Here is a 13,734-nt window from a genome sequence, read left to right on the forward strand (position 1 = left end):
CAAGATGGATTAAAGACTTAAATGTTAGACCTAAAACCATAAAAACCCTAGAAGTAAACCTAGGCAATACCATTCAGGACATAGGCATGGGCAAGGACTTCATGTCTAAAACACAAAAAGCAATGGCAACAAAAGCCAAAATTGACATATGGGATCTAATTAAACTAAAGAGCTTCTGCACAGCAAAAGAAACCACCATCAGAGTGAACAGGCAACCTACAGAATGGGAGAAAATTTTTGCAATCTACTCATCTGACAAAGGGCTAATATCCAGAATCTACAATGAACTCAAACAAATTTACAAGAAAAAACCAAACAACCCCATCAAAAAGTGGGCAAAGGATATGAACAGACACATCTCAAAAGAAGACATTTATGCAACCAACAGACACATGAAAAAATGCTCATCATCACTGGCCATCAGAGAAATGCAAATCAAAACCACAACGAGATACCATCTCACAACAGTTAGAATGGTGATCATTAAAAAGTCAGGAAACAACAGGTGCTGGAGAGGCTGTGGAGAAACAGGAACACTTTTACACTGTTGGTGGGACTGTAAACTAGTTCAACCGTTGTGGAAGACAGTGTGGTGATTCCCCAAGGATCTAGAACTGGAAATACCACTTGACCCAGCCATCCCATTACTGGGTATATACCCAAAGGATTATAAATCTTGTTGCTATAAAGACACATGCAGATGTATGTTTATTGTGACACTACTCACAATAACAAAGACTTGGAACCAACCCAAATGTCCAGCAATGATAGACTGGATTAAGAAAATGTGGCACATATACACCATGGAGTACTATGCAGCCATAAAAAAGGATGAGTTCATGTCCTTTGTAGGGACATGGATGAAGCTGGAAACCATCATTCTCAGCAAACTATCGCGAGGACAAAAAACCAAACACCGCATGTTCTCACTCATAGGTGGGAATTGAACAATGAGAACACATGGACACAGGAAGGGGAACATCACACACAGGGGCCTGTCATGGGGTTGGTGGAGAGGGGAGGGATAGCATTAGGAGATATACCGAATGTAAATGATGAGTTAATGGGTGCAGCACACCAACATGGCACATGTATACATATGTAACAAACCTGCACATTGTGCACATGTACCCTAGAACTTAAAGTATAATAATTTAAAAAAAGCAAATAAAAAAATGGGTAACCCCATCGTTTTCCACAAACTGATTAAGTTTGGATGCCATCTACCCAGTTTTCTTCTCTAATCCATTATATCTCTTTATTCTTTCAACAAACATTAAACCCAATTCTGTGATAGGAACAGAAAGCACAGAGAAAAACTGAGGTAAGTGTCCACCTCTCCTGGGTAGAATGGTCCCGATATTCTGGCACAAGCTCATGGGTTGTCACACTCTCCCATCCTCAGCCTCTGTCACTTCTCCACACCTGTATCCCACCCCAGCCGGAGGCTTGGACTGTCATGCCAGCACCTCCCTCCTGGCTTGCAGATCCTTCAAGCCAGTGGTTCTGCACACCTGATGGCGGTCCTCTGCCTACAGGTGTCTTCCTTAAACATTTTCCCAATGATTAAAAGGTCATTAGTGAGGTGCTGTGGAAGGAAGGCTACAGAAGCAAAATACATTTAGACAATGCAGTATCCTTTATCCTCTTCTTGGAGACTCTTAAGAAACACTGAAAAACATAAGACTCCTGGATGTTCTGGGGTGATGAAGTCTATTTAACTTTGTTTCACCAAACACTCTCCAAGCTTAGGTGGCCACAGGGCGATTGGTCCCACGACACTTAATATCGTTCACTCTTCTTTTCCCATCACCATCTCCATTTTCTTTTCCTGTTTTGTCTTTCTCCTTGGAACTTAGCACTTTCTCAAATTCAGTTTGTCACATGTGTATATTGAATATTCTGTTTCTGTCCTCCCCACATTCCTATTGGAATTCAAGCTTTATGGAGTTAAGGATGAACACACACACACGCACGCACTAACAGGCACGTGCACGCATGCACAGGCACACGCACCTAGAATAGTGCCTGTAACATGGTGAATCCTCAACTCACTACATATTTGTTGTAGTGAGTTGTAGCATGCTTAGGCCAGCATGCCTCTCTCAGTCCATGTTAGACAATATCGGGATCAAGCAGAAATCACTTAGCTGCTAGCTCCAGGAAATACCTGCTCTTGTGAATCAACCAAAACACTTACTTTTTATCAGTTTTGATGACTGACTTCTTGCTCATCAAAGTTTGCTTCAGGACCCTTGCCTCACTCTGTCTGCTAATTCGAAACCACTTGTTAGAAATTCTGTCCTGTGCCAATAGCTCTCCTACCTTGTAAGACCCCCCCTTAAAATCACTCACCCTGGCCCTAAAGCCCCATCAATGCCTTCCTTAATTGTCCCCATATTGAGATTCTATCAAGGTGGTGTTCTGCGTCACCGCAGCTGGTCTGATCAACTTAGCTGTGCTCAGTCCACAGGTTTTCTGACGGTCCTTGGCAAGGCCAGTGATTGACAATTCAATTATTGTAGTATGAATGAATCCTGTTGACTGCTAATCCAAAGAATCAACTTTGGCAAACAGGTGTTTTAACAGGCCAGGAGCAAGCTTCTCAGCCTGCAGTTCAAGGTCTTTGGGTCACATTTCTCACCATATGCTGTACCCTGGCTATTTCAGATACTCTTACACCTTAGCTTGCATTCTTCTGTCAACCGCTCACAGGAGTGGTTCACTGGCTTGTTGATGAGCCTCCCTAATCTCTCACAATTTCAGGGACTACATTTAGGGCATGCAAATCTACTGAAAAATCTTTGGGTCCAAGTAGACCACACTTTTTGATTAACTTATATAAGAGCAGGATCTTGCTTTTCTCACTGGTCACATAGGTATTAGAATTCCTCCTCTGCCCTTCTTGAAGCATTTGTATTATAATTTAAAGCCTGCTAGAGCTGCCTTAAATGACTACAAACTTGCTGGCTTAAAACAATAGAAATGTATCATCTCACTGTTTTGGAGGCCAGAAGTCCAAAGTCAAGGCATTAGCAGGGCCACACTCCCTCTGAAGGCTCTAGAGGAGAACATTCCTTTGTCTTTTTTAGCCCCTGGTGGCGGCTCCAGGCATCCCTTGGCTTGTGGGTGACATCCTGGCTGCCTAACTCCAGTTACTGCTTTGATCTTTACGTAGCCTGTGTCTCTCCTTTGTGTGTCGCTCATAAGGACACTTGTCATTGGATTTAAGGCCCATTTAGATAATCCAAAGATCTCAAGGTCTTTAACATTATTACATCTGCAGAGATTTCTTTATTCCAAATAAGGTCACGTTCATAGGTTCTGGGAAATAAGAGATTTCCGGGGCCACCATTCAAACCACCTCAGGGTTGTCAGAATGAAACCCAGTCATTCATGAAACATTGCTCTAGAAAGAAATAAAATGTGTTATTTTTACTGTCATTTTATTGTCAGAGGCAAGGGAGCATCACTGTTTCCAGAGCAAAGATACTGAACCCCTATTATAGAATACTCTGCCTTCCATGTAATATCTCACGTGAAAGAACTTGGAATTGTTTTTCTCTTACTTTGGATTTCCACCTGTAGAATTCACTTATTCAGAGCTTGCAACCACTTTCAGAATAAAGTACTCAAGGTCTCCTTAAATCAGGTAGACCATATCTTTGCAACCTCCTCTTCCATCCCACCTGCCAAGCCAGCTGCGACTCCTCCCCATGCAGTGAGCATGCCTTGATTCTAGGGTTTTTGCTCAAACCTTTCCCTGCCCGTCTCCACCTACAGGACCCCAGAAATAATCATCCTCCAATGTTCTCCTCATCCCCCAATCTCTGCTTCCTAATCCCATTGTGAGATTTAGTTGTCTTCTCTAAAATGTCTGTGATACTTTTCTACTTCTCTTTATTACCAACTATACCTGTATTAGTTAGCCAGGGCTGCCAAAACAAAGTATCACAGACTGGGTGGCTTAAAAAACAGGAGTCTATTTCCTCAAAGTTCTGGAGGCTGGAAGTCCAACATCAAAGTGATGGCCAAGTTGATTTCATTCTGAGGCCTTTCTCCTTGTAGATGACTTGTAGATGGCCGACTCTCCCTGTATCTTCACGTGGTCTACCCTCTGTACATGTCTGCGTGCTAATCGCCTCTTCTTACAAGGACACCAGTTATATTGCATTAGGGCACACTGATGTGACTTCTTTTTACTTTAATTATATTTTGAAAAGCCCTGTCTCCAAATGCAGCACATTCTGAGGTACTGGGGGGCTAGAACTTCAACATGTGAATTTACACGGGGCATGGTTCAGCCCATAGCAATACCCTAGTTATTTTCCATATGTCAGTCTTCCTTACCAGATTGGGAGCGGCGTCAAAAAGACCCTCATCTCATCTTTTCCTTCTCCTCTGTCTCCATGTTGATTTGTTTTCTTCTCTTTTGTCACCTCTGCCATCTCCTCTTCTTCCTCCTTCTTTCTCTTCCCCTCTCCCTCTTTCTTCTCACTCCCTTACTCCTCCATATTTTTCCTCTACTCCTTCTTAATTTTTAATTTGTATTTGTTTTTATTTTTACTTTATTTATTTATTTATTTATTTATTTATTTATTTAGAGATGGAGTCTCGCTCTGTCGCCCAGGCTGGAGTGCAGTGGCTCGATCTTGTCTCACTGCAACCTCCGCCTCCAGGTTCAAGCGATTCTCCTTCCTCAGCCTCCCGAGTAGCTGGGATTATAGAAGCATGCCACCATGCCCAGCTAATTTTTGTATTTTTAGTAGAGACAGGGTTTCACCATGTTGGTCAGGCTGGCCTTGAACTCCTGACCTCGTGATCTGCCTACCTTGGCCTCCCAAAGTCCTGGGATAACAGGCGTGAGCCATCGTGCGCTGGCCTTTATTTTTATTTTTTAGAGATAGTCTCACTCTGTCACCCAGGCTGGAGTACAGTGGTGTGATCTCAGCTCACTGTGCAGCCTCAAACTCCCAGGCTCAAGTGATTCTCCTGCCTCAGCCTCCCAAGCAGCTGGGACTACAGGTGCATGCCACCACGTCTGGCTAATTTTTTTGGTTTTTAGTAGAGGCAGGGTCTTACTATGTTGCCCAAGCTGATCTTGCACTCCTGGGCTCAAGCAATCCTTCCACCTAGGCCTTCCAGTCCTGGGATTACAGGCATGGGCCACTGTGCCCAGCCTCTGCTCCTTTTTTGTAATAAGTACTGCTTTCCACCTGTGAGATATTTAATTATATTATTTCATTTAGCACCAACAACAACTTTAAAAAGACAGTGGCATGATTACCATTTAACATGAGTGTGTGAATCCATGGAGCAGCTTTTTAATCTATATGTCGGGTGACAAGGCCAAAGTTGAAATCCCAACTTGTTGGGTGCCAGAGCTTCTACTCTTCCCAAAACAGCCTCCTAGGATCCCTCAAATCTCTGATTCAATACCTTGCACACAGTGGATATTATGCAAATATGTGTGAATGAATCAACAGAAGTTGAATAATCAGGGCCATTTAAAATATTTTAAAAATAGCAAAGGAGGGTAAGAAAATCAAATCATTTGAGCACAAGCTATTTGTGCATCTGACAATTGCAGCAAAAGCATCTAAACAGCAATGTTTGTTAGTGGTCTGTGGGTTAATTAGTAGGTGCATGCTTGCTTCTGTGGAAATAAGACCTCATTATCCCATCTTTTTTATTTCAAGTCTGACATTTATGAAAGGTGAACAGATAACTTATCTGTAAGAGCAGCCAGCCACTGCAGGGCTCCTGCCTTGACAAAAATACTTCTCCTAGTATTTGTTTTCCTGAGAGTCTACACTCGTGGCTCTTTTGGCAAGACTCTTGAAACCTGGGACTGCAGATGGGAAGCAGTGATCTGGCAACTCCATCAAAGCCACAGAAGGAAAGAGGGGAGGATCCCTCTCTTGCTGGTGACCTTTCTGATTCTGTCCCATGAGGCTGCTTTCCCTCTCTGAGACCCTTGACTGGCCAAGGAACACTGCTGGGAATTCTGGTGGCCAGCCTCTGTGTGCACGTCTGAATTTAGGAAGGGGTCAAGTTCAGAGATCTTTGGGGCTCAAAGAGGGGGCAGATCAGATCATGGGTGGTGCTCACAGCTTGCTTTCTGGCTAGACCACACCAGTACTTTCTCAGAAAAGTCTTCAGCTATTCTCCCCCAAAAATGGAAGCTTCCCCTTTTTTTTCTGAGCACCTAGGTAACCCTTTCCAATGAATAACTTTTAGTAGCTAGCCATCATGGTAAAAATAACTCATATTTATTGAGTACTATCAATGCCCAGCACTGTTCTGAAGTCCATGAGTCCCCACAGTAGTGCCATGAAGTAAATATTAATTTAATTATGCTGATGATAAAGCGATAGCTGACTCTTGATGTGGCAGTACTTCCTCACGTGAGTACAGATGTCAGAACTCATTGAACTGTACAACTTAAATGGGGCTAGTTTTTTTGCACATAAATTACTCTTAAATAACGTTGATTTAAAAATTATACAAACATTTGTACAGTGCTTGCTGCATGGCTAAGCATGATCCTAACTGTTTTATGCAGTATCCCACTGAATCATAACAGCCCTGTAAGGTCACGTCATCCACTTATGAGGTTAGTGTAATCCCAATTCCACCCAACTTTAAATATCAAGGAAAGAACAACCCCCATACTAACAATATTTTACATTTACAAAACACTTTGCAGTTTCCCAACAACTTCCTGTGGCGTGCTTGTAAACTCCCCTCAGTTTCTTTGAAAGTTCTAGAGTAATCATTCCCTATACCGCTTGCTCCTCTGGCAATGAATCACGTGCGATTTTTGACATACTCCCACTTTTTAAGTTTTTGTAAAACCTGCTGTTTCTGTTCAACTTCTGCCTCCTTAGCTCTTCCCTTCACATAGTCTGTAACTATGCTTAAGGCGGAGGTCTGGAAAAAGGAAACAAAGAATGAGCTTGAAATTAGCCTCAGGAGGATAAAGTTCCAGGTTTAGATTTGGCCAAGTCATTTTAACCTCACCACACCTTGATTATTCTCAACTGTGCAATGGGGTAATAGTATCTACCATACCTTTATTGTGGGTGCCTGCTATATTGATAAGATTAGTATGGTCTTTTAAAGTGTATCTAGACTCTGGAAGCGAGATGCGCATGTTCATATCTCAGTCATACCACTTACCTATGTGACTTAGGGATTCCTCAGTTTTCTCATCTATAAGATGGGGATATTAAAAATACTGACGTCACAGGGTTGATGTGAGGATCAAATGAGTTGATACATGCAAAATTCCCAGAACAGTGCCTAGAACATGGCAATTACTACATAAGTGAATTACTGTTATTGTTATTGTTACTCAATCTAGGCTAAAACTATATTTTGTAAGCCGGGCAAAAATTGATACCTTTACTTTGCTGATGTGGAAGCCAAAGTTTAGTAGGTTATGAGACTGATCAATATCCAGTTAGTTAGAAGGTAGCAGAGCTCAGCTCACACACTGTTGGGAGGATGAACGCTGGGACGTGACAATGCTATGTCAAGTGTGCAATGTTCTGCAATGTGGTGGCATGAAAGGGTGCTGTGGCTTCTGCTCCTCTTCTCTTTTTTTTTTTTTTTTTTTTTTTTTTTTTTGAGACAGAGTCTCGCTGTCGCCCAGGCTGGAGTGCAGTGGCGCAATCTCGGCTCACTGCAGGCTCCGCCCCCTGGGGTTCACGCCATTCTCCTGCCTCAGCCTCCCAAGTAGCTGGGACTACAGGCGCCCGCCACCTCGCCCGGCTAATTTTTTGTATTTTTAGTAGAGACGGGGTTTCACCGTGTTAGCCAGGATGGTCTTGATCTCCTGACCTCGTGATCCGCCCGCCTCGGCCTCCCAAAGTGCTGGGATTACAGGCGTGAGCCACCGCGCCCGGCCTCCTCTTCTCTTAACACAGTTCCTGGCACCCAGCACATGGCTACTGATAAAATAAAGGCAGTCCGTGAATGGCTCACCACCTGCTAAGCTGTGTGTTAAGGCATTACATATGTTTTCATGTTTAATTCTTGTCATGACTCTGGGAGTTAAGATTATCTTCCTCATTTACAGATGAAGAAACCAAAGTTCAGAGCAGTTGAGAGAATTTGTCTTCATTACTCAGATAACAAATGACAGAGTTGGAATTCGAACACATGACGCTCTAACTCCCAGGCCCAGGCTAGTAAACACTAGACTAGATTCCTTGGATTTGACTGTGAGGCAGAGGGTCAGGGGAGGCGTTGGGTATGGGAGGAGGTGGTTTCCAGATGCCCTTTAGGTGCTTGGATTCAGCTGTCAGACTCATGTCTGTCTTCCTGCTCCCAAGATGGCTTGTGACATCTGGAAGGGCACAAGCCCAGGAGTGGGTCACCTAAACCAGAGACAAGTTGTGGGTGGCTTCCCAATGCCCCTGGGAGCCCTGGTGAATGAAGTCCCAACGTTCTGTAAGTTGGATTTTAATGCTTACCTTCTGTGAAGGTCTTAGCTTCCAGGGAGAGAAGGAAAAAGCAGGAGAATATCTGAACTGGGCATCCTCATCCCCATTCTCAGTACTCAGCCTTTGCCCCATTGTGCCTTCTGCTGCATGCACCGCCTGCTTTCTTCCTGCCTCGGCCTACCTGGCTTCCTCGACCCCCACACTCTGCCTTCCCCATTCATTTGTCTAAAAAAACCCTGGCCAAGGGCTCCTTAAAGGAGTGGTTGATTTCAGCACTGGGGCAGGGAAAATCCGAGATGAGCCAGGAGCATCTTGTCATGCCAGAAAGCAAGAAAGTTCTCAAAATATGATAGAGGCCTTTCCAAAGAACGCAAAAGCCAATGTGAAGAAACTCTAAATAGGCAGAGCTGGAACAATCTGAGTCACAAAATAAATAAAGATAGTAACCCACAGATTATAACCCATAGAATAAAATAAATATCCACAAACCCATACTGGTATAAAAAAATAATTGAATCAGTTCAACTGGCATTCCTGCCTTTACATCCTTTGTACATGCTGTGCCCCCTGCCTGGAACGTCCTCCCTCTGCACCTAGTGAGCTTCTCTTTATCTTTTAGGACCAAAGAGAAGGATTTCCTGCTCTGTAAAGTCTTCCTTGATGTCTTGAGCATAGCTGGTCTCCTCTTCCTGTTCCATGCCTCCTATATTTTGTGTATATTTCTATCCGGGCCCTCCCCACACTATTCCTCCACAACCAACGAATGTCTGGAGAACAGGTACCATAGCTTAGTCATCTGGGCATCCCCTGCGTGTGGCACAAGGCCTAAAGCACAGATGCTTTCGAGAACTTGAACTTGCTGAAGTAGGTTTGTCTTTCTCAGTTACGGGTTCCATCATCCATCTAAGTGCTCCCACCAATAACCCGGGAGTCAACCTTCCCTCCTCTCTTGTCTATCTGCCCTAGTCCAATCAGTCTGGGCCAGCTCTGTCCACTCTTCTCCAAAAGAATGATTGATCCAGGCTTTCTATGCCATCTGCCACACACGCATGCCCAAGCTGTCATCAGCTTTCCCTTACAACATGTTCTTACCTGGGCTTTGCAGCCTGCTTCCAGTTGATTCTGCTTAGGGCATAGCCAGAGTGCTGTTTGTAAGTAAATCATTCGATGCAATGCTCTTTGGCCAAGTCATTTTAACCTCACCACACCTTGATTATTCTCAACTGTGCAATGGGGTATAGTATCTACCATACCTTTATTGTGGGTGCCTGCTATATTGATAAGATTAGTATGATCTTTTAAAGTGTATCTAGACTCTGGAAGTGAGATGTCCAGGTTCATATCTTAGTCATACCACTTACCTATGTGACTTAGGGATGCCTCAGTTTTCTCATCTATAAGATGGGGATATTAAAAGTACTGACATCACAAGGTTGATGTGAGGATCAAATGAGTTGATACATGCAAAATTCCCAGAACAGTGCCTAAAACATGGCTTTCAAGGCTTCCCTGGGTCCCTCTGATAAAGCACAAATTCCTCCATGGGCTTTGCAAGGTCTTCCTTACACTCCCTGAAGTCACATCTCTTTATTTTCTCTGCTTTTTCCAGTTCCTCCAGTTCCCAGGCCTTTGTACACACAGAATCTCTGCTTGTACACATGACCTCCCTTTCCCCTCTCCTCCATGTCCTTGGTTTGTCTACCAATCTGCCTGGTTTCCATGAATGCTGCTTTCTATGATGCGTCCCCTCTGACATCTGAGACTGGATCAGGTCTCTAGTTGGAAGCATTTATAGTATATTTTCCTTTTATCACATTTGCAATTAAGGTGACCAACCATCCTGGTTTGCCAGGACTGGGGAGCGCTTAAGTGCTAAAACTGGATAAGTCCCAGTCAAATTGAGGCAAGTAGGTCACTCTACTTGTAATGGATTGTTCAATGCCCACTCACAAAATTAAGCACTATGAAGGTAAGGGCCCAAGTGTTTTATTCACATCTCTGTTCCAGGGCCTAGTACAGTGCTTGGCATGTAGTGAATGCTTAGTAAATATTATCTGGATGGACGGATGAGTGGGTGGATCTTAAAGGATCCTTTCAACCCTTTCGTCTGAGATTCAATAAAGGTAAATCCAAATAAAGCAGTAGTAATGTGTACAATCTTTTCAAATGTCCTGCAGTGACTGGAGAGTGAATTCTGCTGGTGGGAAGACGGAAATTAGAACAAAGGATTGTTTCTAAACAGAATGCCTGCACGCAGATATGAAGATGAGGGGAGTAAATGCCTTCAGCAAAATGAGGTCCTCATGATACTATACTGAACACTATTCATGCATCCATTCCTTAGAACTACTCTATCAAGTAGGTACTGTTTTTCATCTCTCCTCTGCAAGTGAGAAAAGTGAGGGACTGTGAGGTTAGGTAGCAAGTTCCAAGTCACAAGCCACGCTGGTGTTAGAGATGGGGCAGACCCCAGCCCTGGAAGCTGCACTGATTAAATTGCCTCTTTATTCATCTTAGATCCCCTTATGCTTTTCAGTCTCTAGGCACCAGTGATGGAATTGGGGATCACAGGAAAGAAAGGAAACACACAAAAAGAAAGAGGGTCTGGAGCTGGAGAAGAAAGCAGAGACCCCCAGTAGGCATCTGGGGCTCCAGGGAGAGTCTGAGTAACAGAGAAATCATAAGAGCGACACAATCTGAATATTAAGAAATCAAGGGTAAATGATCATTCCCTAGTATTCAAACTTGGAAATTGTCTTTTTCCATAGAGGAAGAGAATGGAAATATTGATTGCATTTATTTTCTCATGACACAAAAGGTAAATTAATCCTTTTAGAGCAGAAAACATGTTTTATTACATTCTGAGTAATTTCCTTTGAAAAAGCAAAACATTTTTTAGAGCCACTGGCGGTAAAACTAGATTTTCCCCCCACATCTTAGATGAGAATGTGTGTCATTATTCATGCATAATCTGATTCCAAGTGATTCCTTGTTTACAGTTTGTTTTTTGTATTTCCTTATGTAAGCAAGAATTAATACACTCAGACATGAAAGAAGTAAGTTAAATTATTTTTACTGCTTCTCTTTAGGACGTACAATATGTCTTCTTTAACTATCAATGACACGTAAAACAGTCAAAGAAAAGCACAAATAAATACCTATGGAAACAAAGACAAACATCCCAAGGAGAAGCTATGTGCTTTGGGGTCTTGCCTGGCCCGCCTTCCTCCCTGGCACCTCCTAGGTACCAGGGGACCTGGTCTTCCCCCTCCCTGACAACCATTGTGTGCCACCCCATCCTGGCTTGCCATCTCAGAGAACCTACTCCCAGCTGAGCTGGAAGCAAGATGAACATCCAGATGTGCATGCCTTTTGCACATCCTGGGGAGAGTGGCTCCTGGTGGGGAAAAGCCATAGCTATTCTCATTTCCAACCCAGAAAGCTGCCAACAACCTCTGGTGTGTGCAAATGATCTGAAGATGGTATTTGTGTGTTAATTTGTCAAAGAATTTCAAAGCCTGCCTGGGACTTTAAAAAGACTTGGTTATGGCTACATATTGGCTATTGTGAATAATGCTGCAATAAACATTGGGGCATTCATATCTCTCTTCAAGATCCTGATTGTAATTCTTTTGGATAAATAACCAGAATTAGGATCACTGAATCATATGGTAGTTCTATTTTGAATTAATTTTCATTTTTTGATACAGGGCCTTGCTCTATTGCCCAAGCTGGAGTGCAGTTACGCTATCCTGGCTCACTGCAACTTCCACCTCCAGGGCTCAAGTGATCCTCCCACCTCAGCCTCCCTAGTAGCTAGGACTACAGGTGTGCCCCACCATACGTGGCTAATTTTTGTATTTTTTTTTTTTTTTTTGGTAGAGATGGGGTTTTGCCATGTTGCTCAGGCTGGTCTTGAACTCCTGGGCTCAAGTGGTCTGCTCACCTTGGCCTCTCAAAGCACTGGGACCACAGGTGTGAGCCATTGCACACAGCCTATTTTTAATTTTTTTAGGAACCTCCATACTGTTTTCCATAGGGGCTGCCTCATTTTGCCTTCCTTCCAACAGTGAACAAGGATTTCTATTTCTCCACATTCTCACCAACACCTGCTGCCTTTTGTTTTTTTGGATAGCAGCCATCCTAACAGGTGCAAGGTGATATCACATTGTGGTTTTGATCTGCATTTCTCTGATAATTAGTGATGTTGAACATCCTTTCATAAACTTGTTGGCTATTTGTGTGTCTTCTTTGGAGAAATGTCTAGTCAAGTCTTTAGCCCACTTTTTAATTGGTTATTAGTTTTTTGCTATTGAATTGTAGGGGCTTCTTACATATTTTGAAAATGAAGTCCTTATCAACTATATGGTTCACAAATATTTTCTCCCATTCTGTAGACTGCCTTTTCACTCTGCTGATTATTTCTTCTGTGCAGAAGCTTTTAAGTTTGATATAGTCTCACTTGTCTATTTTTGTCTTTGTTGCCTATGCTTTTGGTGTTATTTCCATGAAATCATTGCCATAACCAATGTGATAAAGGTTTTTTCCTGTGTTTTCTTCTGAGAGTTTTACAGTTTTAGTCTTGCATATAAATTTCCATCAAGAGATGAATGAATAAGAAAATGTGACAAATATATATGACATATATATATATACATGACATATATATATACATGACATATATATATATACACACACACATACATACATACAATGGAATAGTATTCATCCCTTAAAAAGAAGGAAATCCTGCAATATGTATCAATATGGATAAACCTTGTGGACATTATACAAAGTGAAATTAGCCAGGCACATAAGGACAAATTTTGCATGCTTCCACTTACATAGGTATCTAAAATAGCCAAACTCATAGAATCAGAGAGTAGAAAGGTGGTTACCAGGGGCTAGAAGAGAGAGAGAAATGGGTTTGCTAATCATAGGGCATAAAATCTCAATTGTGCCAGATGAATGAGTGTCAGAGATCTGCTGTATAATATTGTGCCTATCATCAATGCTGAATTGTACACTTAAAAATGTGTTAAGAGGGTAGGTCTCCTGTTAAGTGATTTTATCAAAATTAAAATTTTATATATTAAAATCATAAATAAAAATAAAATATTATATAAGAAGCCTTGGTCAACATAAAGGATGTCTCAAGGTGCAAATCAGACTGAGACAAGCAAGGGACAGAGGACTTACATGTAAGGATGTGCTTACTCTCAAGTGGTAACCTGCACTGACTTGAGCCTGAAAGAGAGTGACTTCTTACCTCTCTTGCCTCATT

Source organism: Homo sapiens, chromosome 16, assembly GCF_000001405.40.
Source record: "Homo sapiens chromosome 16, GRCh38.p14 Primary Assembly".
Classification (NCBI taxonomy): Eukaryota; Metazoa; Chordata; class Mammalia; order Primates; family Hominidae; genus Homo; species Homo sapiens.